We start from the raw sequence: 27,611 nt of genomic DNA on the forward strand, positions 1-27,611 counted from the left end.
ATAAGCCAACCTAGCTCAGCTTAGTGGCATTTTGTAAACCAGTCACATGAAGAGATAAAGGCAAGTTATAAGCCTAGGGCCAGGGGACTAACCACTATAGATGTGGCTTAGAATGGAGTACATACTGCTCCTACTTAGTATTCATTGTTAAGGCAGCAGAGACTCATACACAGAAAGAGGTGCAAGGAAGAACCCCTATTAGTAAAAGCATGTTTCTGAGAACCCAAATAAGGGACTGTCCTAAATGAACTTGGAATAGCATTCAAGTCACTCCCCATCATAGGACTGCAACTACCTGTTTCAGAAGGAAAATAAGTAAGAATTCACCAAGGAGTGGGCCAGAAATGTCTAACGGATAGCAAAGAGTCAGCTTTCAAGGTGTGTTTGTGTGGAAAGTAGGTGGCTACTCCCCTTGAATAATTTGTGAGGAGTCAGAAGAGCTCTAATGAGTAAATACCAACATTTTGGTTATTCAGAGTTTGTGCAGCAGTTCACACTGGGTACCTTGATTGAGGCTGGTACTGATTCAAGAGCTCTGGGGGAAAGGAGGCACAGCTGTCAATCAGTGGCATTCCTCAAAATCAAGTGAACAGCATCAAGATGAAGACGCAGTGAACCATTAGGTTTAGGGGCTGATCAGTTGATCCCATCACTCCCTAGTCCCCCTACAACATCCTCTTCTAGCAATTCCCAGGACCAATTTATTCCAACCATCTGCTTTTTTTCTGCTTCTGCTCCCAAGTTGCAAATGCTGCTGGAGAAAATCGGATACCTCTGCCAGCTGGCACCAGGACAACCTCAGCTGGGCTCTCCATGCTGCTCAGCAGTCTTTTCACGTGTCCTAACTACCTTCCATTAACAGTGCCCAGAGCAGCTGTTCCAAACTCTACACTCTTCACATGCTTCCTGGAGCTCTCCTCCCTTTGCATTCTCAGCTACTGGCCTTGCTCTGACATCACTGAGAAAATAGAGGGCATCAACTCTGTACCCCTACTCCCTAGTGTAGCACCTGAGACATAGTATGTTGAAATGGATCAATGAATGAATAAATTAATTCACTCATGAATGTAACTGGTAAGCACCAGTTTCTCTTTCTCTCTTACCTGGTATCAGATCTATCCTTGCTTCCTGTACACATACCTGGGAGGGAGGGAGAATTCTCTGCCTTTCCAAGGCCAGTGCTTCCACCTAAGCTCTTGATTCTATTAATATCTGCTCCCCTCTCCTCTGGGATCATTTATATACCCTTTCTTCTGTACCTCTCTTTCCATCTTCTACCTTTTAGCCCACAAACATGCTTAAGTCTCTGTCTCTGTCTCCTACAACTAGTATGTCCTGAGCAACTTTTATGTGCCAGGCACTGTTTCTAGCACTACAGAGATATTAGTGGGGAAAAACATATAGAACATCTGCCCTTTAATGGAGGTGGGTGGATGCAGATAATAAGGTAATGAGGGATACAAATAAATGAATTTAAAATAGATGTTTATAAATTTCTTAGAAAAAATACAAACAGGGAATGGGGGCAGAGTCTACTAGGGAGGGAGAGGGAGTAGGGATGCTACTTTAAATAAAGCAGCTAGATATAGGTGACATTCAAGCCATGATATGAAGGAGGTAAAGAAGCCAAGTGAAGACTCTGCATTCAAAGCAGAGGAAACAGCCATGTGAACGTCCTGTGTCAGGGCAGAGTGTCCTTAGCACAAATCAAGAAGCAAAGGAGACTGTGTGGCAGGAGCTGAGCGAGAGGTGGAACTTTAGTAGGATACAGGTCAGGGGACCAGATCTTGAGGGCCTTGTGAAGCATCGTGACTAAGGACTTTGGCTTTTGCTCTGGGGAAAATGGGAAGCTGGTGGGAAGGTTTTGAGTAGAGGAGTGGCATGGTCCAATATATTTAAGAGGATCCCTCCAGCTTCTGTGTTATGAATTGAGTAGAGTGGGGTGGAGGAAGAAGTGGGAACCCTGGTTAGGAAGTGATTGCAATCATCTGAGAGAGAAGTGCTGTGCACGATTGCATCCTCATTTGCCACCACATTTGTCAAAAGGACTGTTTCACTCATCGCCTCCATACTTTCTGTCCTCATCTAGTCCCATCTGGTTCATGCCCCCAGTGCTCTTCTGAAAATACTCTTGGCTGAGATCACAAATGACCTAAGTACCAAATGTCAAACCCAGGGGCTTCTCTTCAGTATCTGAGGCTCCTTTATAAAACCTCAGGGCCAAAGCAAGCCCAACTGTGTCTTGACCTATAAAAGTAACACCACGTAAGAAGATCCCACCTGGCAGGTTTAATGAAATCATGACAGCCACAGAGACTTGAATTTCCCTTTCTAATTTCCTTCAAGCAGGGTTTGCAGACTGAAATCTGACAAAGGCTGACAGGTAATGGGCGTGAGTGAAGGTGGATGGAAATGGGATGACCCCTCTAAGGTGGTAAATGCTTCTCACTTACACATGATACGTACCAGGTGAAAAAGTGGCTCAGGGTAGCCAGGCTTTGGAATTTTTCAAAAGAATCCTGAAATCTGAAGTTTTAGTGAAGTTTCTCCATTTGTAAAAATTGATAACTAAATTTTTTTTTAAAATACCTATAGACCAAATAGAACCTGTCTGTGAGTCATATAAAACTGCAGACCACCAGTTTTCAAATCCTCACAGAGGAATTGCTAAGTGCAGTGGTGAAGCCTCCGGGCTTCGGTCTGGTGCTCTGTAAATGCTGTGGATATGCTGATGGTAAGTGTTACTCATCATTTCCCCAATTCTCAGCCTTACACTCCTGCAGGCAACTCTAGGTTTTGACATTCTATTGCTCACATTTTCTTTTTGAGTTCCTGTTGCCTGTCCCACAAACTTGCATTTTCAATCACATACTGACCTTTTGGCCCATCACTCCCTGGCTGTGAATCTACCACACTTTTCTTCTGCTCACTCCACCTCTCACCAGACATACCAGATTCCTTCCTGGTTCTCTCTGCAGGAACTCACTCTCTCAGCCACTGTTTAGGTCATTTCTAGTTTCCTGGAGCAGATAGGTCCAGATTCAAATCCCTGCTGACTTGCTTAATAGACATTCTAAGCTTAAGGATGTCATACAACTTCCTCATGCCTCAATTTTCTAGATCATAAATTGGATTTTTCCTCCACCCACCTTTCCCTCCCCGCTACCCCCACATACCACTCTTTTCCAAACTCTTTTGATGAAACTTCTTCTTTCTACACCTTAAATATTGGTGTTTCCCCCAGAGTTCTGCCTTTATGTTCTCATCTGAGCCTATGCATCAAGGGTGGTTCTTTTACTTTTTTAACTTCAAATAATATCTCCATTCCGAGGTCTTACAACAAAGCTAGTCTTAGCCTGTTTGTTAAGCTTCAAACTCCTTTTTCTAATGATCTCTTGACCACCTGGGTGCCCCTGTTTTACCTCAAATTCAACATAGATAAAACTAAGCCTATTATTTTCTTCTTAATCTTCCATCTTATTTATACCACTCCCCTTTTTTCTCTGCGATATTGCTCACAGTAGTAACCCGCGCTGCTTAAACAGATAAACCACAAATCTTAATGGCTTAGCACAATAAAACCTGACTGCTTGCTCCCACTCCACTGGATATCACAGTCCATTGCAGTCCCACAGGGGTTGGGGAGGTTCCGCTCTATACACATTTTAGGGTCAAATTCCTTCCATCCTGTGATGTGGCCATTGTCAATACCTTACCCGGAAGTTTAGTGCAGATGGGGAAGAGAGAATGAATAGGGCCAGAAGCAGTATGTATATAACTTCTGCCCACATTCTATTGAGCAAAACTCAGATACATAATCCCAACTAATTGCAAAAGTTTGGGAAATCAAGTTTAGCTCTATGTTCAGAAAGAAAAGAAGAAATAAGAATATTGGACACTACTAGGATTCTCAGCTATGCTACTGAGTCTTCCAAAATAGAAACCTGAGGATAACCTCAACTTTAGGTTTGGGTCTTAGTAGTTCTACCTCAGAAAAGTTCAGCATATTCTCTTTGCAATCCCTATCCTTGTCACTTCTCACTGGCACTTTTGACACAGCTTTCCTCTCTTCACTGGATTCCTACTGCTTGCATCCAGGAGAAAGTCCAAGTTTGCCCAAGCCAGCTCTGGCCTTTTCAGTTCTCTCCTTCAATCCCTCCTGCAACTCACTGTATGCTATGCACCAAACTTCCTTCTTTCTTCAAACAATTTGCTTCCAAGCTCTGTGTGTATGCCAGGGTGTTCTGTGTTCTAGAACGCCTAGTCCTGCCTTGGTCACTTCAAAAACCTTCTTTGAGCATCAAGATCCACCTCAAATATTACTTTTTTTAAGAAGCTTTACCAAATCCCTTAGGATTAATGTCCATAGCAGTTCATATAGCACTATAACATCTTGGCACATTTAGTTATAGATAATTTTATATGTCTATATCTCCCATAAGACTGGGAATTTCTTGAAAGGAAAGACCATGTTTTTTTTTTTTTTTTTGTACTTTAAGTTATAGGGTACATGTGCACAACGTGCAGGTTTGTTACATATGTATACATGAGCCATGTTGGTGTGCTGTACCCATTAACTCGTTATTTACATTAGGTATATCTCCGAATGCTATCCTTCTCCCCTCCCCCCACCCCATGACAAGCCCTGGTGTGTGATGTTCCCCTTCCTGTGTCCAAGGTTCTCATTGTTCAATTCCCACCTCTAAGTGAGAACATGTGGTGTTTGGTTTTTTGTCCTTGCGATAGTTTTCTGAGAATGATGATTTCCAGCTTCATCCATGTCCCTGCAAAGGACATGAACTCATCCCTTTTTATGGCTGCATAGTATTCCAAAGAACATGTTTTGTATACAGTTCTACTGACCAGATTTGTAATCCCTGAGTCCTGTTCAAAGCTTGTACATTGTGGGTGCTCATTTGATGTTTGATGAATACATGTATCACTATAATGGAAATTAGAACACTATATTTTTATTTTTGGAAAAAAACTTAACCCATCATTTTTCTGTACTTCAGAGTTTTATCATTTGTCCTATAGGAGTTTTTAGCTCTAAATATCATTGGATTTAGGAGGAAACATTATCAAAAGCAGCACTCTTCATTAGCCAAGTTAGCAGATTTTTCTCTGAAGATTATATAGAATCTTACAATAAATCCTCAGCTACATTTCAACAAGAGGCAGGGTTTTCTAGGATTTTAACCTCTTGGTCTAATCAGTTTTACAAATTGTCAATCTTAAAATCCTTTAGAGCCTCCTAAAAGAGAGGAACCATTTTGTTGGTTATCTGGGAGCTGGTTGTTTCTTCCACTTCATCTTATGTAGAGTCATGCCCATGCCCAATAAGAAAGGGAACAAAGGCAGGGAAAAGCTGTGAATCTCAACTAATCCAGTGCTGCATGAGTTGAAACAGTGGATAAAGGATAGAATGGGTTCTGGCACTGCCTAGTAATTTCAGACTTCCTTGCTTTTCTTGTCCTACTTATCATGAAGCATTAGGAATGAGCCCATCATTGAATTAGATATGCCAAGAACACTATTTTGCTTACCAGCTTCTCTACCTCTCATACCCAAATGGAGTGTGAAGGTAGTGAATTAAAATTATTTATGCCATGGCCTCATCTATCATGCCTATGTAAATGAGTCCCACATATATGTCTTAAGTTTAGACTCCTCTTCCATGTGCACTGTATCTGACTGACTCTTGCCATTTCCACTCAGATGACCCACAAGAATCTCTAATTCAGCATGTCAAAAACTGAATCACCTTCACTTCTAAGCCTACTGCAACTTCTCTCTTTCCTTGCTCAATTAATAATAGCGTCATTCTCCAAGTGGGACAGGATTAAAAACACAAAGTCATCTTTGACAGCTTATATATCCCATCAACAATCACTTAGTAAGCCACGTTCATTCTGTCTCTGCTAACTCACTTATGGTAAGATTCATGTTACTCTTTTTAGAGAAACCTCTTCAACTACCGGCAGCCCAGAGCTGAACACTCATAATGTCAGCCTCAAAAAGGAGAGTCCAGTCTAGTGCCAACAAGACAGAATCACAGCAACAAACTGATCCCATCCAAGTTCTCACTCTGGCTTTTCACCCCTGACTGTCTTAACTGTCAGCTCTAAGTATCTGTAACAACTCCAAAAAAGGAACTTGTAGACTTTTCAAGAATGAACTCATTATAGATGGTTGGAAATATATACATATATAATTTATATATATATAAAATATGATTTATATATATATATGATTTTATGTATATATATATGATTTTTTTCAGGCAGTGGCTCACTCTGTTGCCCAGGCAGGAGTGCAGTGGCACAGTCATGGCTCACTATAACTTCAAACTCTAGGGCTCAAGGGATCCTCCTGTCACAGTCTTCCAAGTAGCTAGGACTACAGGCACTCACCACAACACTCAGCTTATTTTTTAAAATTTCGTTGTAGAGATGGGGCCTTATCATGTTGCCTAGGCTGGTCTTGAACTCCTGGCTTCAGGATATCCTCCCATCTTGGCCTCCCAAACTGCTAGGATTACAGACATGAACCACTCTTCCCAGCCTTTACGATATAAGATTTTAAAGGGATATTAGAGGAGCCAGAACTGAACACTGGTAGATGGTCTTTGTGTACTGGGCTATCCAGCTTCCTAATTATACAATGTGTTTGGGAGAATTGAAGGGTTATAAAACATTTGGGAAACACTAAAAAAGGTACTTAGCCACATTTCTTGAGATATATAGTGCCAGCAAGCAATGTGGACAAAAACTTGAGCCTAATCCACAGTTAGGGTCAAATATCTAAAGAGGCTCACCTGGGAGCATTTTGCACAGAGGAAGGGAGATGCTGTGGAAAAATGGAAAGGACTGTGTTAGTTGGCCCAAAAGCTTCGGGCACAGGGACCCCATCTTCATGATGGTCATGAACATCAGAAAGGTATTTCCTACTGGTCTAAAACTGAAAAGCATTGGAGGGCAGAGGAATAAAAGAGGTTAGCAGTGTCGTGGGCATGCTATTGGCAGCAAATTGTGGGTGGCACAGCAACAGTGGTCAAATAGCAAGGCCTGTATTGGTAAGGCCTGTAGACTCCAAAAAGATGAGACTGCAGAAGTGGAAGTATGAGCTCCAATTAAATGAGACATCCCCTCTCCTGGAGGGAGAATGAATTTTTAGAGTGAATAATTTTTACAAAGCTTCTAAATTTGGTTTCCTGAAAATCAAAGCATTGTGCCTCGCAACGCTGAAAGATAATAGGAGTGGCCCGGGGCTTAATAGTTTATGTATTTAAGTATAACAAATTATTAAAAGCACTCCTTGGTTACCAATATCTCTTCTGGTTCTCCTTTCTAAAGAAAAATATTGGTCTGGATCCTTCTTTCTAACTTACATGCAGTCTTTGTCCCCAAATCATCTAAGTCTAGATATCTTGTTTCTTACTCCAGGGACCTTAGTACCTAAGTTTTGTCATTTGCTTATGCACTGGCTCCAGGTATTACCTTATGAACTGAGTGCTTACAATGCATTCAGCAAAATTCAGACTGTGGCTGTGTGATGCTGCCACTCTGTCTCCCTAGACAGGGTGAGCCTATGTCTGTTTCACGACCCTTTGTGGCCAACTTGTTGCTGGCATAATCAGTGTTCTGGAATATCCTGAGATCTTAGGTGGAGGTTTTCAAACCCTCCTTTGAAGGAAGTATGGCTTCTTCCTTAATGATGGGGCTAATAAAAAATATTAAATATATCATAGTAGTCACAATTTCTTTCTCCATTGTAAAGAACTTGTGACTACTATGATATATTTAGTATTTTATTATTAATTACCTATCTTGTAGTCTGTAACTATGTACCAGCTATAATTTCATTCAGATCCTCTTTGCTTCTGTCTAGGATTCCATATGTGTTTTGTTTTTCCTGAATTAGACTCTAGCCCTATCTCTGAATAGTAACTAGAACTGCATCATTTCTCAAGGCAAGAAGAAACCCCTCTAAAAATGAATGAATAAATGGGAAATCAGTCAAATAAAAAAAAAGTTAAGACCTCCAGCAAAAATACTCATAGATGCTCATCAGTGTCCCACCTGACTCCACACAGTATGGCCCTCTAGGATTTCATGTTTGCATATAACCTTTGGGTGAGAGAATGATCTGCTGCTAGGTAGATATGATTGGTTAAAATTAATACTTGTATATGTATTTCCCTACTATTACTTTAGTTTCTTTTATTAAAACTTGTAAAAGTCTTCTAATTTGGCTTCTGTATTTCTGAGCATTTCCTTTCTTAACCAGAGTTCTTCATCTGAATATGACTTAAGTAACTATTTTCTTAGTTCTCCTAAGCATGGTTCCTAACTACAGTAGCACCATTCTAGATGCACAGGGAACAAGTTAATTTATTATGTAAAATATATACTTTGAAAGCATTAAGGCTTAATTCTTAGTTGAAAAAAAAAAGTAGGGTTGGGATGGAAACTCTATGTTAATCTTCTTAGATTACTCTTTTGTTCATGTTTCACATCATCAGCCTGCGCAGAATCTACCAGTGGCTCCCTGGTACCTATACAATTAGGTTTAAACCCTTAGCATGTAGAGCTCCCTATAATCTGGACTCAACCTACACTGTATCTCTTCTCTCTCTTTATCTGGGCCACTGGGCTTCACTCTAGTTCTCCATCCCACCCTGAACCAAACCAGAATGTACTCTTCCAACTTCCTCCTCCCTCTCCACTACCCCAGTCCCTGACTTTCATCTCTGTATGTCTCATTTTACTCATTTTTCAAGGTCAAGCTTAGATTTTATATTCTACATAAATTTTTTTTTGATTCTCCCTTCTACCGAATCTCTACCACATTTTACTTTTTAAAAATTTTTGTAATACTTTTCACTATCTTTTGAGTGCATATCTTATCAACTGCTCCAGCCTGAAAGTCCTCTGAGTAAAACTGTGTTTTACGTGTATTTGCATCCTCTTTTACCCCTTATCCCCATGACTAAAAGATGTAAGGTCAATAAAGCTTTGGAGAGAGAAAGAATGAATGAATGAATGGGAAGCGGAATACATTGGCACTTGTCTACTGGTATACCACAGGTTCAGACTTCAACAGGTTAAGCAGGCGAGGCTTGGAAGAGAAAGCATCCTTGACATAAGTGAGCTTTCTCTCTCTACATGCTTGTGTGTTACATGACATGGTATGATGCCTTAAACTCCCGTCAAAAATCTACATGCCCCCCTACTTCCTCTAAGAGCCTTAAACCAAATCTTTTCTCTTAGGTTGTCCTCCAGAATTTCTCACCGCATGCTTTAACACCTTGTACACAGTATTTAAGTAGTATCTCCAAATGTGAATACTCATTATGCCCACCATTATATATATAATTACTCATCTTTGACAGTAAATGTTAAATATTTATTCCTATACTTAAACATAATGCACAGGATTCCTTTTTAGTGACTGCTAATGAGTTACTTTTTTCTAAATCAGCCGAAACATGAAAATTAAGCATTTTTTTCTGCTCAGAAATAATTTCAATGATAATAGTGTTAAAACTTTGCATTTCTAAAGTACACTGTATTTGAGAATTCTACAGAATTGTTGGAACATAAGTCATGCAAAGGTATGAATCAGTCAGCACTTCAGTAGGAATATTAGCTTTATACCCAGAAAGCACTTAACAGCCTTTGCCACCTGAAAAAAAGATAGGATAAGAATAATTTCTCAAGAGCCAGGATCTAGGACCACATTTACCTTTCAGATTTAAAATATGAAGGCTTTTCATTTTCACAGCCTTTGATTGTACTATGTCCCATAATGTTATTTTTTTTTTAATTGCTTCTATTCTTTCCTGGTAGGAGACTACCATGTAACCCCTTTTGATTTCCGAGAGATGTGGAATGCAGATCTGTAACACTGCATTTTCATAACTCTTCCTTTTTGCTTTGGATATATTTTTGTCATTAATATAGTACTGGCAGGTCTGAATGTGTTTTCCTAACCTTATTCCATCCTCCCTTTGCTAGGAGTTAATTTAGTGAGAGCTCAACCCACATAAATATACGCTTATAAAGCACAAATGCTCCCCAATCATAAAGAAAATGCCCCATGAGATACTGATCAAGGGACATTTTTTTAGATTAAAGGCTAAAAGATATCTTTACATCAAGCTCAGCTGAGTAAAACGTTTATTTTCTTATTCATGTATGGTGAGAAAATTTAAATTGACATTTCAATCATTCAAAATAATGAATATCTGAAGTGCAGGAATAAAGACAACATGTGTGTATCATTTAGAACAGAAAGCTTTTCCTCTGTAACTGGTAAACCAAAAATAGATTGTATTTTCTTCCAAAGAATTATAATCTTTTATTAGGATATATTCTAGGTAAGTAATTTGTGTTTCTGCTGAAGGGGACATGACACAGAAAACCATTATTTGTATTTTAAGTAGTTGTCTCACTTTGCACCGAGGGAGCAAAGACCAAGTATTTTCCATATAGTACTTGCTCTGGATCAAATACTTTTAAAGTAAATGCACTAATAAGCTTGGATCCCATGAAGGTGCTTATCCTACAGGCAGTTTTGGGCACATGGCCAGTCGTGACCTGAGAATGCACTGAGGTATTAAACATCAAACATTCTCCCTTCTTCTTTCCTTCCCCTTTATCCACAAACAACATTGTTTTTAAGATTTCCTAAGCAAACCAGGAACCTTGAGAAGTTATTGTTTTTGACTTAAATGTTGGCTGACTTAAATTGTTTCATGGTAAACAAGCATTTTCCTGCCCCTATAACCATATAAAAGTCCGTTGGGAGACCCAGAAGTTGAAATGGTAACTATATTCTGTTGTGAGCCAGGAATCTGTGGGTGAGCATATGGGAAGGCACTTTTATTAGCAGCCCTGGTATATTGTGCCTGGTTCTCATCCTGAGATAAGGGATGAAGGATGCATAGAATCCAGAGTGATATTCTTGATTGGTTGAAGGCCCACCTTCCCCTCTCCTGTTTGAAAACATGGCTTAAAAATAAATGGGTCAGAAAGCCTCACCCAATGAAAAGTGAGGAATATAATATATAGTCCTCCACATTTTCATTTTGGAGACCCTGGGTGTATTAGTCTGTTCTCATGCTGCTAATACATACCTGAGACTGGGTAATTTATAAAGGAAAGAGGTTTAATTGACTCACAGTTCCACATGGCTGGGAAGGCCTCACAATCATGGCGGAAGACGAATGAGAAGCAAAGTCAGAACTCCCCTTTGTAAAACCATCAGATCTTGTGAGACATATTCATTATCACAAGAACAACATGGGAAAGATCCACGCCCATGGATCTTTACCTCCTATGGGTCCCTCCTATGACACGTGGAAATTGTGGAAGCTACAAATCAAGATGAGATTTGGGAACACAGCCAAGCCATATCACTCGGTTTACATGTATTGCTGCTTTTTCATTAAAGAAAAAAATGTGTTACAAGCCAACTAATAACCAATAAATGATCTTGCTCTTATTACCAAATATGTTTCCTAAGTAGGGAATGCTGGAAGGGAGGGAGGAGTCAAAAAGACTAAAGGGTAAGTGTAAAGAAAGAGAAATCATCTACCTTTGCTCTTCTTCCCACGACCTCATCACCATGCTTGAAAAGAGTCAATGAGCTTTTCAGGATCATTAGCATACTTCCATAGGCTGTGTGAGATGCAGGTCTAAGAGCAGACCTCAGATCTAAAGGAAAGCACGGCATTATCTATCTCACCCACACAGTCAAAGCATTGTCTCCTTATGGCTTATCCATGTGTCTGGTGTGTATCCCACAGGAAAGCAGTGGAGAAGGTAAGGATGAAAAGCTAAACTCAACATCATGCAGCAGTTGTGGTAGGCTGGATTTTACACCTGGGAACAAGGGTGCCTAACTGTCCCAGTTTGCACAGGACTGAGGGAAATTTCTAAGACACAGCATTTTATAGTTTTAAAACCAGAACATTCCTGACCAAACCCAGACAATTGGTCATTCTGAAAACCTAGGATTTAGGTTCTCTTCATCATTGAAGTCTTCTAGAACCCATACTTTCAAAATTATCTGCACGATGGAAACGTCTACGGCATTTTAAAAGCAACTGATGTGGGTGTCCCACCCCCCATAAAATCTGACTTCATTGGTCTGGGATGCAGCCTGGCCCTTGGGAGTTCTTAAAGCTCCTCAAGATCCCCAGCTAATTATAATGTGCAGGACAGATTGGCAACCCCTGCACTAAGTGATTTTGCTAAATTATTTAACCTCTCTGAGCCTATTTTTCTTTTGGTAAAAATTTGCCCTACTTCTTTGCATATTACCTCTGTACAAATATTCAAGCTTCTACTATTTGGAATGTTCTGAATCAGTGCATAGGAATCAATCACCTAAGGATCTTGTTCAGTGAAGATGCTGATTCAGTAGGTATGAGAGGTGGCTAGAGAACTCACATTTCTAACAAGATCCCAAGTGATGCTGTTGCTGTTGGTCCAGTGTGTAATTGAGTTTGTGGTAGGCAAAATAATGCCTCCACACAAGGTGTTCACATCCTAATCTCTAGGACCTGTGAATGTGTTATGTTATTTGAAAAGGGGGATTAAGGTTGCAGATGGAATTACAGTTGCTAATCAGCTGACTTCAAAATAGATCAACTGACTTCAAAATAGATTACCCTGGATTATTCAGGTAAATCTAATATGATCACAAGGGTCCGTGAAGCAGGGGAAATGATGTAGAATAATCAGTTTCAGAGTGCTGCAATACGAGGAAGCCAGCCATTGCTGGCTTTGAAGATAGAAGGGAACCCAGAGGTAAGAAATTTGTGAAGCTTCTAGATGCTGGAAATTGCAAAGAAACAGATTTTCTCCTAGAGCCTCCAGAAAGGAACTTGGCCCTGCTAAGGACACACTGATGTTTGCCCAGTGAAGCTTCTGTCAGACTTTTAGACCTACAGAACTGTAAGATAATAGACTTGCAACATTTCAAGGTCTTTATTGTTATTTGGAACAGCAGCAATAGGAAAGTAATACAAGTATGATATTAATCCACAACTCAGGAGAGCAGTAAACACAGTTTCATTGTTCATTAAGCCAGTTTCTCACTCTGAGTCATTCTCCCAGACCTGAACCTCAGCCCTTCCTGGGGTTTTGAAACTCCACCACCCCTACCTTCAAATTTGGCTATAGTTCTTGAGTCCAGCGTTTAGGGATGCATTGGAGGCAGCTGGCTGGTCCATCATCCTTTTCCCCAGTGGCACACTTATAGGTGCAATCTTGGTGGGGGGCTGCCTGTGGTGGAACAGGCGACTCCAGACAGACAGGAGGGACGCACAGTTCCCTCCCACTCTCTTTCCTTGGCCTCTCCTCCCCGCCCCTTCAGCACAGCCCAGGAGAATGTGGCTTGTCTCAGCTCTTCTCCTGCCCTGGTTCTTCCATGCTCTGTGTATATCTCTATGAATTCTCTAAATTATCCCAAATGTTTGAGCTTTGGAAAACAAAGTTCAGGAAAATGTGCAGGTTATTTTTATTTTCTTTCGGACCGCACGGCTTGCCTGAGACACTGAGCCCAGCTGGCTCCACCGCAAAGTAGGGGAAAAAGGGAACAGACCCAATCTAGGAAGTAAAGAACATGATTCAGTTTGTCAAAAAAAAAAATCTACTTATGTGTGAGAAGTGAGCACAATTAAGTTTCTTTTATACGCCCCCTCACCCCCCGCCAGCCCCCCGCATAGGAAAGTTCCTACTGCGGTACATGTGCCGCATCTGCCCAGCGCGTCCAGAAGTAGAAAGGCATCGGGCTTCCTAAGGATATCCGCGGCCAGTTGAAAGGAGCACAAGAGGCTCCGAGATAAGACGACCAGGGCCAGAAAGTTCAATGCATCATTTCAAGATTCGATGTCTTGGAAACTAGACTCCTTCTCAGATCTTAAAGGTGAAATGAGTGGCCACTACTGGCAGCCCCACAACAGCACGCATTGGGCAACAGGCCTGAGCCCCACACATCTCCGGATGATACACACCTGCCCCATGGGAAGCCCCGGGAGCTCAGAGCTGAAAATAGTTTTGCGTGGAGCTGCCGCTAGGCTGGCTTCCTTTCTGAACCTGACCACGGAGTTCCTTACGATTTCCACGGCAAAGAAATACTCTCTATGTAAATTGTAAGCATTTTCTCTGTAGATTTCAGTTGTCGATGACTACCTCATAAGTTGTAATAAAATCCAGTTTTATTAAGAGATTGAGACTCAAGAAATCTCTTGAGAAGAACATACAGAAAAATGTTAAGGGATTAATTTGGGAGTAGAATTGTGGGTAATTTTTTTCTTTATGTTTTTCTGTATTTTCTCACTTTCTAGAAGAATGTGTTTTGTCTATATACTTTGAAAAATAAGTTTTTAATTACTTAAGAAGAATTATGGAGAGTTTACGCTCTTTGGCTTGAATTGGAGAGGGTAACAGTTTGGAGAAGGCTATTTCCCCTACATACAGACCTTAGAGAGATATATCTGCCAGCCTCACTGGGCTGGGACTAGAATCACCTTTAGATACCATGAATAATAAGCACAGTAAAAGTAACACTAATGACACCAGATGATGTCTGTGTTCTTTGGTGTGCACGGTCCCATTTGCATCTAAGGACTGTGGAGAGCTCTGTGCCTAGGTCGGCGGGAATGACACCCTCATTCTTCAGGTTCTGACGTTCAAGTCAGTGCTGTTAGATTCTCAGCTGTCCTAACTCCTTTTCCTGGGTGCGGAACACTCCCCTCCCTCCACTGTTGTTGGCTAGGGATTCCAAACTAAACAGACATCAAGACTTTTCTTTTTTTCAAGAATAGGTGCTGCAGATAAAGCCCAAAATACAGAGAAAACCTTACCACAGAAATGCAGGTTGGAGGAACAGAGAGCGAGAGGGCAGGTGCAGTTCTTGCCTGCCTTCTGCCAGGCCCATGTCACCAGTTCACTGTTTATTTCTTCACCAAGCCTGCTATTAGCAGTAGGTCTGAAAGCTTTGAACTTAACTGATGTACGTAAAGCAAGCTGTTCATTTAATCTGCACACTTAATTCAGCTCTCTCTGCATGCTGCTTCAGTCTGGCTTCTTTCCATATAAGGAGTTCACCGTATCTTTCTGCAGCACCCCTACCTCTGTCTTGAAAAACAGCCAAAGATGGCTTTGTGTTTAATGCACTTGCTGTAGGCTGAAAGCCCCAGCTGCACTGCCACCACCTTGCCCCCTACTCCTGCCAGGTAAGTCCTGTGTGGTCCATTTCCATCTCATCCTCAAATGAGAACCTGCTGAATTCTATTATTTTGAGACTTTTTTATGTAAATGAAGGGAAAGAAAGTCAGTTTTAATTTTGCCTGTCTGATAGATTATATCAGAAACAAATGCATTTATGTGTGTATAATTTCCTGTTCATGAAAATGTTGCTGGACCCTGCTTTAGTGCACCTTAAGGCAGATTTGGTGAAAGCTTTAGGCACACTTCTGAGTAAAATATGCATTTCAAATGCACTAATAAAGTGTGTAGAATTGAACAGTGGGTGGGAGAGAAAGGAGGGACATTTTCTCACTTGTGTATAATGTTCTTTTCTAAGTAAATACTGGTAAAGTCTATGTATAATCACAATTTTATTGAAAGGTTAAGTAGGTGGCTCCATTTTGTTGTTATCATAAATAAGCAATATTTGCTACAGAAATCTCACATTTTGGATAATGGTATGTAAATATATCATATTCCTTCTTTCCTAAGTGGTTTCCATGGCTTAATGCCTGTCAAGGTTTTGTGAAATATCTGCAAAACCAGATGATACCACTCAGACGAAGGGAAGAGTGAGGAGATTTAAAAATAGAGGCTAGCTTTAGGAGTCTATGCTAAGGAACATGGGCACGTGAATCTGGGAATGGGGGTGCATGCGTGCATGCAGCCAGGGGAAAGAAATAGTCATTAAAAGCCATGAGAGAAGGAAAATGCATTATAAATACAAAATTGGGAAAATAAAATTTAGATGCTAAGCCAGGCCTTGGTGGGGAGAAAAATGGAACCACTCTTATTTGGTTATGCCTTATCACCGCTGTTCTGCTTGGGGTACCAGCTGCCTCATTTAGAGCCCGTTCTTCTCACAACATTAACCAAGGTGAAAATATTATTAAACCCTGACAGTGAATGACAGAAGCTTGAGATATAGTGCGTATATCTACTCAGGCATGGCTGTAGACCCCAAACCAGATACCCTTAAGCCTATTATCCGCAGAATAACAGACATTTGCTCCTATCATTATACATGTGAACTGTGTACCTTATTTCAACAGTTATTATCAGTATATTAAACAGCTACAAAATAGCTGGCCCTGTGTTTTCTGTTTTATTGGAAGTATCTCATTTATCTAGAGTCTTCTGAAAGTCAATACTATTCCCATTTTTACAAATAAGAAAAATGTTAGGGCTCAAGGAAGTTAAGTATCTCAGCCAGGGCCACACAGTTAATGAGTGGAGGAGACAGGATTTGAACTCAGATCCATATACCTGGGAAAGTTTATGTTCTTTCCACTTTTAAGCAGCCTCTTTATTTAATTGGAAAAATTCATAGAATTATAAGATAGGAATAAGTGAGAAAAGGAACATACAAATAAAACCATTTTCTTGGGAATATTGGAACCACAGCTTAAGTAAATAATTCTATCCTGAAGTGTTTTGATTTGTTGGCTGAATTTTCCAGTAGTTGAAACATTAGCCAGACACACCAGGGCATTATTTCTCTATGTTGGTTGCACATTTTACCAACCTGAAGAGCTTTAAAAAATAGTTACGTCTAATCTCCACTCCCAGAGCTTCTGATTAAATTGGTCTGAGATGTGGCTTGGACATTATGGGTTTTAAAAGCTCCCCAGGTGATCCTAATATGTAGCCAAATAAGTATTTTCCCCTTAACGGCCTCTCCTAAAGTCTAGACCCATTAATTCAGCTAACTCTTAGCTATCTCTGCTTTAATATCCCATAGGCATCTCAAACTCAGCATGTCCAAAATAGGGCTTTACATCTTTTCACTTAAACCTGACCCTCATCTTCCTATATGATATTTTTTAATGCCAAACACTATCACTAGACTTATTATTCTAAGTTAGTCATATTTTTATCTGAGTTCTGAAATTAAAATAGGCATGCCTGACCACTAGATGGCTGCTATATAAATTCATAAATATTTGCATCTGTGGGATTTCAAAAGAGTAGCAAATTCAAACCCTGATTAGTTTTAGAAATGTTGTAATAGCTCCCTCCTGAATGCCAAAGGAAGACAATGCTCAAATTAAATGCTCTACATCAGGAAGTTAATTTAAATGAGCATGTGAGCCTTATTGTCCATAAGAAAGTGAGTGTGGAGCATTTAAACCCGCAAGGAATGCCAGGTTCCACAGGGAAACAAGGACCACTAGCCCTGATATGCAGGCTCTACAATAAAAATCAAATCTAATATATTATGCGGGAAAAAAACAAACAAGGACCACTAGAGCCTACTCTCTGCTTCCCCGTTGATGCAAGGGTATTGCACTTTTTCAGAGGTTCACACTCTACATGGCAAAGAATGGTACATGGCCTAAGAGAAGAAAAAATGATGTCTCTATAGTAACTGTGATCATTTCTATTATAATTATTTGATAAAAACCCAACTCAATTTTCCTGAAGGAAAAAAAATCAAGAAGCCATTGGCCCACATAACTGAAGGGTTCAGAGGTGATCTAGCATCAGGCATAAATAAATCCAGAAGGCCCGTGGTGACAACACAGGTCTGTCTCGCTGGATCAGTTTCCCCCTTCCATTCTCTTGTTCCTCCTTTCTCACTCTGTCTGGTCCTGCTCTGCCTCAAATTTGGCTTTATTTTGATTTCAGAGCTGAGATCAAAGTTATGAGTAATAAGTCTGGCTACATATAATTTTTGACATTAAAAAAAAAAACATATATGAAGAAGAAGCTTACTCTCAGTCAAGCCCTTTACCCATGGCAGCTTCCACAAATCTCGATTTCTGTCCCTCCAGTTCTTAGTCCACCAAAGTCATTTTCTTTCTTACAGCAGTCTCACAAAAAGCCTTGTGATTGAGGCTTACTGGACCCAGGCTTGAACTAAGTTCAGTAGCCAGGGGGATTTCCTTGACTAGGCCTTTACCATGGGCCCTTCCAAGGAATCAAGAGAGAGTTGGCGTGCTCAAACCACCTGGGACTCACAATGGGAGAAGGGTGAATACACAGGAGAAATGTGGGCTCCGTTACAACATGAAGAGTTAGATGTTGGGCTGGACAAAGTAAGGAATCCCCAGTGCAAACTCTGCAGGTGCAGAGAGAAAGAGATCTCATCCATCTGGGGATATAAGAGGATTTTCAAGAAGGTATGATTAGGGATGAGTCTTGGAGGATTGGCTAGTTAAGAGGAGATATAAAATAAATTTAATTTTGTTGAAACATAATTCATGTCCTCCAGGACCTCCTCCATAGTTATGAATCTAAGAAGCTACTTAATCTATTTGGTGCTTAAATAAAAATGTTTTGATTTCATAAATAAAGATTTTGTTTATAATAAAAGAGACTGTATCATTCAGATACTCAGATAAGCAGGTCTCTACCATCAGGTATAATGATATCTTTTAAAGTGAGAGCCTCCCAAACTTTAGTAATTATTTCCTCACATGAGCATTCCAGTATTTTCATGAAACTCTAAAAAGTGAGAATTTATGATACTTAGAAGCAGTTTGATGTTGGGAAAATATTTATTTTTGGCACTGGCCTTCCATGTAACTGTAGGCAAGTCATTTAAGTGGTTTACTTATTTCTAAAATGGAGATGATATTGGCCAGTAATAACAATGACTGATAATAAAGTTGTTGTAAATGGCAAAGGAAATAATGCAAATGAAATAGCAAGTACTATACAAATAAGTGTGAGATGGTGTCATTGTACAGTTTTCAAAGTAATATCTTATATGAGGAAATTAGTTGATAATGGGAGGGTTTGTTTCTTTGCATGGCAAGCCATCTCCATTTTATCTTCATTAAATTCACCACCAGAGCTTATTATAATAATTTAGCATTATGGGTAAAATTGTGTTAGTGTTTACTTTGGAAATATATAAACCTGGTGGCTTCTATATCTGGAATACTTCCAGGAATTAAGGAAAAGGTGAAGGGAGCAGCTTCCAGGCACCTAACAATAACAGCCCTATGGCTATGGGGGCAAAACCTTTTCCTCATGCAGTAATGGGGATTACTCATAGGCTAGCAGAAATGGTCCAAACCAACCATCTGAAGAAGGAACCAAGTGCACGGAAAAAAGCAAGAAATTTTACAAAGGAAAGGGGAAAGTGGAAACAAAAGAGAGGAGAGCAACAGATGCAAATGCAAGGGACTAGTACAGTGCAGTGGAAATTAGAGCCAGAGGCGGAAGCTGTGAACCACACATGGAAACATTGATTTTGGTGAGGGAGGGGGGAGATGAAGGGGAGTGATAGTATACCTACTAGATTCGACTCCAGAGCAGAATGTTTCCCAACAACCCTTCCTATAGATGGCCAAGCTATTTTCGTTAATAATTGTGATGTGGAATGAATAATAATAGCCTGAAACAAACACAGTAAAAATCTTCTTTTACTGAACTTTGTGTGTGTGTGTGTATGTGTATATATAAAACCTTGTGTATATATACACACACACAAAGTTTAATAAAAGATTTATATATATATAATCATTATATATGTAATTAATTGTTAGTAATTGTTAGAATTTACACTAAGAAAAGATTTTTTGAGGGCAGGAGTATTTTATCATTGACATTGTTTTGATTCTCATGTTTGCTAGCACATGGCAATAATAGAAAAATATTTAGAGTGTTATATTATTGTTCTAAAATTCTGTATGTCCAATGCACATTCTTATTGCTTGTACCTGAGGGAGAACCCTGTCACAAATGGAGGGGAGTCAGCAGCCCAAACAGAAAAATATTTGGTTCACTCTGCAGAGAAGGGACACACAGCCTCAAACCTCTCAGTGGGCCCTAAGGGCTTTGCTGAACTGTACAGCCTGTGGATACAATACCAAAAGAGAAATTTCTTCAGAATTCCCTCAGAGGAAAAGCTTCTCTTATGTTTCCTACTTTAAGAATTCCTGGCCGGGCGCGGTGGCTCGTGCCTGTAATCCCAGCACTTTGGGGGGCCGAGGCAGGCAGATCACGAGGTCAAGAGATCGAGACTATCCTGGCCAACATGGTGAAACCCTGTCTCTACTAAAAATACAAAAATTAGCTGGGCGTGGTGGCACACGCCTGTAGTCCCAGCTACTCAGGAGGCTGAGGCAGGAGAATCGCTTGAATCCAGGAGGCGGAGGTTGCAGTGAGCCAAGATCGTGCCGCTGCACTCCACCTCAAAAAAAAAAAAAAAAAAATTCCTAAGTGTTACAGACTTCATTTTGCCACTTTTTTTTTTTTTGCTTTGGCAGAGTACAGAATAAGTAAATGTACACACACATATACACATGCACACATACATATAGTTTGTAGTCCCAGTGTGGGGAGCTTTTAAAAGTCTGATTTCTGAACCTTATCTCTGGAGAGACTCACTAAGTCTGGGATGAGGACCAAGAATCTACATTTTAAAAGCATCTGTGTATTTCTGATGGTCATCTAGGTGGAGGAATCATTGGTGATGAATTTGCATTTTTCTAGCTCTATGCTTGTAATATTCCACTTCAATTAAATATCTATGGTCCTGATTATACATTTCTATTGTGTGAGTTTATTGTCTATCTTCTTATTTTATCTTGGAGATCACCTTAATATAGAATTGGAATTTAATTGTTAGGAGAATAAAATCCTCTTTCTCCTTTCCTGAAACCATGATTTCTCCCAAGTATAAATGCAGAATGTGAAGCCTCCGGTTTGAGAGGTCATAAATCAGCAGCAAGTTTCTCAGCAGGGTGTATATTAAAATGGAAGGCCTTCTATTCTTACAGCAGGTCACTAAAGTTATACCAGCAAATGCAATGAAAATTCACAGTGCTTTTTACACCCTCATATATTACTAGATTCTCCCTTAGAAGTGTATAAAACTGTTTTCTCTACTTAAATAATGCCCCCCATTTTTTTCTTTTTCTTTTCTTTCCTTTTTTTTTTGTGGTTCTTCAGACAGAATTTACAATTTAAAAGAAAACAGAGGAAGAAAAGTAGAAAAAAAGCTGGCATGACACAAAACAAAACACAGAAGCTTGTGGGAACCATGATAACTTACTGATTTTTCTGGCTGCAAGATTGTATGAAACAAAAAATAGCAATATATAACACTTCCAGTTTCCCCCCGAAGCAGGCATGACCAAGCTCGTTGTGGTCCAGATTGTCTAACCAGTTATGCTTTAAAAAAAAAAAACATTCTTCTGTTGTCTGTGTCTTTACTAAACCTCAAATGCCAGTCGGTGTGAATATTCACCAATCTATTCAGTTTCATCATGTAAGAATCACTGTTTTTAATTATTTATTAAAAAAACATTTATTAAGTGTTAAGTATTATAGACAAAGGACTAAATGATGCTTTAATTCTCGTAACGTCTCTATGAAAGTGGTTTTCCCCCCATTTTACAGATGGAGAAAGTGAGGCGCAGAGGAGTTCAGTTACTTTCTCAAATGATTCAGCTAATGTATTTCTTGTATTTTGATGTATGGATGTATCACCACTGGGAACTTATTTAAAATGCTGATTACTCCTAGGGATTCCCCTTCAGTAGGTTCTGTGGAGCCCAGGAATCTGCATTGCTAACAAGCACCAGGTGAACCTGATGCAGATAGTTCATTTAGAAAAAGATTATTGATATGGTTTGGCTGTGTCCCCGCCCTAATCTCATCTTGAATCGTAGTTCCCATAACTCCCATGTGTTGTGGGAGACACCCGGTGGGAGGTATTTGAACCATGGGGGCGGGTTTTTCCCATGCTATTCTCAGGATAGTGAGTAAGTCTCCTGAGATCTGATGGTTTTGTAAAGGGGAGTTCCCCTACACATGCTCTCTTTGCCTGTCACCATGTAAGATGTGATTTTGCTCCTCCTTTGCCTTTTGCCATGATTGTGGGGCCTCCCCAGCCATGTGGAACTGTTAGTCAATTAAACCTCTTTCCTTTATAAATTACCCAGTTTCGGGTATGTCTTTATTAGCAGTATAAGAACGGACTAATATACTTATAGAATACTATGGGTTTCCCACTCTGAAAGACAGCTCAGAGTTCAGGACATGAAGGAAGTCCTCACCCTGTTCCATTTCCATTCTATCACCTGGCATTTGTCCCCTCAGAACTCAGGCCATAGGAAGCCACACTCCAGCCTACCCATCCTGGCCTGCTGTGTAACTTTCAACCAAAAGTTTTCTTAACTATAGTTGTGTAACTTAAAAAGTGGTTACTGAAACTGCATGTTGTACTTCATTCTGGGTGAAGGGCCAAGAGTTGTGAAAATTATTGACAGAGTGGGAGCTGACAGAAGAGGCTCAGGAGAAAAGAAGACAGGTATAACTTTATCTGTCTCACTGGGCCTCCCAACCCATAGGCCTTCCATTCCCTTCTAATGGTGATTTCCATTAAACAGCAGCACACTCACTCACTGGGAGCTGATGCAAAGAAATTCTACAGTGGTGGTAGAAAGAAAGATAGGAGGTAGGGCAGAAGTGTGGGCATAAGATATAGAGAAAGAGAAAAAAGCAGGAAAAAAGAAGTGAAAAAAAGGCAGTGGCTGTGTAGATGGGGGGATCTTGTTAATAGAGTGAAACATGGTTAAGGTTAACAGCACATTGTTCAGACCACCAAAGGTTTGACTGTATTCTCTATAATTCCTAGGACAACTGCAAATTACTAGCTCCAGGAAAATTACTCCTCTCAGATCTGCATCTCCTCCAATCAGGTTCACTGATATCATAGCTTTTCCCAACAGATGACCTTTCCCTGTGATTTTGAGATAAAGTGATTGGAAGGTGGGAAATAAAAATCTAACAGGGTCTGGGGTTCTCCAAAGCCTTTTAGTGTTAGATTTTATGGTGTTTGCTCCAAGTGGTATAAATACCTTTAGGAATCTCCTCACCTATGAAATTAGAAACTTCTTGGACCATCTTTGAAGAAAGTGTTACACAGGTTACAGAAACACGGTATGTAGAAACACTATATGTAGCATTAGAGAAATGCTAAGTTGGGCTTTAACACCCATGGCAGATACATGACACTTGGCATGTCATGTAATTTTTCTGTCCTTCAGTTTACCCAGCTATAACATGGAGGTTATAATCCACCACCCAGAGTGGTGGAGAAGACTAAGTGAATAATTATTTAATACAGAACCTGACAGATAGAAGGTATATCAGGATGTAACAGGGTCCTGGCAGGAAACAGAAGCCATCCCACATGAGTCAATGGAAGAGAATTGTAAAGAGATTATTTACAAAAGTGTTGGCAGGAATATAAAAATGGGATGGCGAGGCACCTGGAGACTGTCATGCAGGAAACCATTACTACTCATAGCTGAAGGCAAAGAAGATAGAAAGAGTATCTATCTCCGGTGAGTGCAGGAGCTGTGGAGGAGAAGCCTGTAAGAGCTATAGCCTGGAGAAACCCAGCTACTGCCAGAGAAGCAGGAGCAAGAGACCTTTTCCTCTTCCCAGCGTATGAGCTGCTGCTGGAGGTTCCTATGGCCAAACTCAACTGGAAGGCACATGAGAAAGAAGCCTAGATGGTAGAGTTCATAGCAGTCATCTTCCCTGGGCACAGAGATAGGCATGGAATGGATGGGAAGGAGGAGGTGCAGAGGGGTTATTCAATAAAGTCATTTCTACCTTTCATTTCTGACCCACTACACACACACACAGACACACACACACACACCTACCTTCCCTCATATTTCCAAACAAAACTGCATATGTAGTATTGTGAGAAGCAGGTGGTATTTAACTAATAATTCCACTAATGTTTATTTGCTAAGTCCAGTAATGAATTCAAGCTAAATATTGTTTCTTCTCCCAAAGTTCAGGGCCATTAGTGGCTATGTGTACTTGGCAAGACATATTAACTCTTGGACTCAAATCCAGTTTTTTGGATACATAAATATCCTCTAGCTCACTGAGAGAGTTAATGTGCTTCCCTAAAGACCTTACTAACTGACTGGCAGTGAGTGAATTCAGCACCAAGGATATCAGACTCCCTGGAAGACAAAAAAAAAAAAAAATATGTATATATATAATATATATATATATATATATATATATATACACAGAGAGAGAGAGAGAAATTTAAAAATTAGCAAGGAGCTCAGTGTGTAGTGCTGCTGCCTCCACTTCCCACTCACTGTTCTTCCCCAGGACTCCTTCTTTAGGTAATGGCTTCTCAGCAACTGGAGCTGCCTCCCGTTGGAAAAGATAAACGTCCTCCTTCCCTCCATAGAGATAGAGAAGAGTCAGATTGGTGGAGATGTCTGGACCTTGTGAGCCTATAGCAGGGACCAGCAAAGAAGCTATTCATGCTGTGGGTCTTGAGATGGAAGCAGAGGCATAACTGGAAAACAAGCGCTGTGAATCATTTGGTCAGTCTTGAAGTATCATTTAGAGCTCCAAGAAAGAGGGAAATCTTTTAACCACAGGCCTACAGGACATCTGGAAATTCTATGGTCAAGGTATCCCCATTATGGTTTCTCCCATAGGCAAGATAAGATTTGGCGACTAATTTGTGCTCGACTACAACAACATTAAATTGACATTTTAACTTCTGGTGCACAGGATAAAATAATAATTAGCATTATAAATAATAGAGAGCACTTGTCAAATGCCTGGTGTAGTCCAGGCATGTGTCAAGAGTTTTTTTGTCCTAATTCTCACAAGTCTTATGGCAGATACTATTAGGTTATTATATTAGACTATTAGATTATAACACATTAAACTTAAAGAGTAATCATTCAGAACATACTTGGCGGGGGGGCCTCCTCTTTACAGAAGAATGCCAGCTAATATAGGGAAAATGACACATAGAAAATCACAATTTTTCAACCATGATTGTAGTCATTGATTCAGGCAGAGGTCATCAATGGATGCTAAAACATCCTGGTTAAAAGTTGCTAGAGGATAGACTATAAGAGGTACAGTCTCAAAGCGTCATGCCACAGGTTAGTTTTTAATTACAAAGGGAAAAAAAGATACTTTTACAATAGAAAAATCTAGCTGATGATATACTAACCAAGTGAGCAGAGTTAACCTCAGCAGTAATGAGACAAACTGACCTGATATGCCTCGTGATGGTTTGTCATGGGAAGTGCTCAACATCATCATATATACAGGTTGAGCATCCCTAAACCAAAAATCCAAGATTCAAAATGCTCTGAAATCCAAAAGAGGACCAACATGACATCACAGGTAGAAAATTCCACACCTGACCTCATTTGATTGGTCATAATCAAAACTGATTCAAACTTTGTTTCATGAACAAAAAGTATTTAAAATATTGTATAAAATTACCTTCAGGCTATGTGTATAAGTTGAGTATGAAACGTAAATGAATTTCATGTTTACACTTGGGTCCCATCCTGAAAGTATCTCATTATAGTTATGCAAATATTTCAAAATCTGGAAAAACATTTGAAATCATAAACACTTCTTGTCCCCAGCAGTTTAGATAAGGTATACTAAACCTGTAGTATTCTTATTGAAATGTTTAACCTGAATCCAGTTGTGAGGAAACAGACAAATTCAGATTTGGGGACATTCTACAACTTGCCACAACTAGCTTGGACTATCCAAAAATATTAACATAATAAAAAATGAAAAAGTTCGGGAGGAGTCTAAACTGAAAGACTGCTGAGACAATAGCTAAATGTAATAATGTGTGCTCCTTAACTGGATCCTGGGGGGAAGAAACATTAGGTATGAAGACATTACTGGGATAATTGGGGAAATTTGAATATGGGGTACATATTCATGTTACAGTATTCAGAGTCAGAGTTTCCTGGTTGATTTAGTGCAACTGAAGTTATGGAGGAGATGGTTTTCTATTCTTAGGAGATGTCTGTGAAGTGTTTAAGGGTCATCAAGTCTGCAACTTACTTTGAAATAGATCAACAACCACTGCGAAGTGTTATATGAAAAGAGACAAAGCAAATGTGGCAAAATGTCCACAGCTGAGGAACTGAAGTGAAAACTAGATGTATGGCAACTTCTACTTGTCTACAGGCTTTAATTTTTTTTTTTAATGAAGAGTTGGGGAAGAAAGGGTAGTATTATTGGTCCTACTTTTTCAAAATGTAAACCAAGCTTGAGGTGTCCCAGCTAGTACATGCTAGAGCTGATATTCAAGTCCAGGTCTTTCTGACTCTACTAACCCCTTCAATACATTTTGGCCTTAGAATAATCAATGTGAACACAATCAACGTGAAATGGTCTTTAAAATGTACGCCATTCATTTCTCTAAGTCCCTCATGACTGAAACAAACAAGGAATTGGGTTTGGTTTGCAGTTGTGCTGTGCTCCCCTCCACACCCCCACACTCTCAGTCTCCTCACTCAGGGAAGGAGAAAGGCACTTCCCTCTTATATGAATATTACTGAATTCATTCCATGTCAATCATTAAGGCCTAATGTAAACTCTTGTAGCATGCTGGGATCTAAATGAATCCTGACTTTTCATCATCTCAGAACACAAAACCTAGGAGATAAGAGAAGACAACTTTAAAGATAGCTTTAATAGAAGTCAATGTAATATACAGTTGTAGTTACACTGATAACACCTGAACAAAAAAAGAGTGAGAAAAAGGGCATTTCTTCAAATCAGTTGACTCCCTTTCTTCAAAGACATTATCAGCTATTTATGCAAACAATGATTTATTTTACCTGGTATATATGAAGTGATTAATCATATAACCTTACAGTATCCATCTTAGGTAATACGTGCTCCACGTCCATGAATTTCAACTAAGCTGCCTAGACTTCCCAGTGAGTGGTGTTTGGAAGTTTAAATTTTTACACCTTATGTTGCTACCTAATACAATTCTTTGGCATTTGAGCCAGATTCTTATTTAAATGTCTTCAGTCAATATAACTAGTCATAAAGCAAACTCATTCTTTGGTGGTTATGAGAAGCAGCCTCACTTCTCTCTTTGTTTGCACCCTACATTTAGTTTTTGAATTTTATAAATTGCTGACAACAGCCAGATCTTTTTTTGGAAAGTGATTTAGGCAGGCAGGAGGGAAACGCTCACAGTAAGCTAGTGGTGTCATTAGCAATTTTGTTCTTTATAGAACAGGAAACTATAATCAGTGTTTTTAAGCTATTAATTCTATAGGCTAGTACTTCCCTCCCACTAGGAAATGCTTATTTTCTCCACCCCTGAAGATGGGTGTTTTTTAATGTTTAAGCAAATCCCTGCCATGCCTTTGTCTCTGTAAGTATAATAGAAACGCTGTGCTTCTGTGCTGCCTGTGGCGCGCGCATCAGGGCATCCAGGTATAGCTTTGTGCTGCCTGTCAGCTGCCACACGTGGAGGGTGAAGGGCAGGGAAAATCACATTTTGTGGGGGACTGTCGACATTCTTCTGAATGGAATTCTTTGGCAAACTTGAGGAAA

General features: G+C 39.9%; 1 protein-coding gene across 2 annotated transcripts in view, besides 1 other annotated feature; it reads left to right on the forward strand.

Annotated features, from left to right (window-relative positions):
- The window catches only part of RAB3C (RAB3C, member RAS oncogene family), a 277,243-nt gene that overhangs the window by 190,971 nt on the left and 58,661 nt on the right, over positions 1 to 27,611 (forward strand). The gene's annotated exons all lie outside the window — the stretch shown is intronic.
- Positions 2,687 to 2,736: a silencer, noted in NCBI's record as "silent region_16035". NCBI's record gives its function as "represses an Ori minimal core promoter by ATAC-STARR-seq in GM12878 lymphoblastoid cells {active_cell/tissue: GM12878}" and the evidence as "EXISTENCE:reporter gene assay evidence [ECO:0000049][PMID:35858748]".

The sequence above is a fragment of the Homo sapiens genome, chromosome 5 (assembly GCF_000001405.40).
Source record: "Homo sapiens chromosome 5, GRCh38.p14 Primary Assembly".
NCBI lineage: Eukaryota > Metazoa > Chordata > Mammalia > Primates > Hominidae > Homo > Homo sapiens.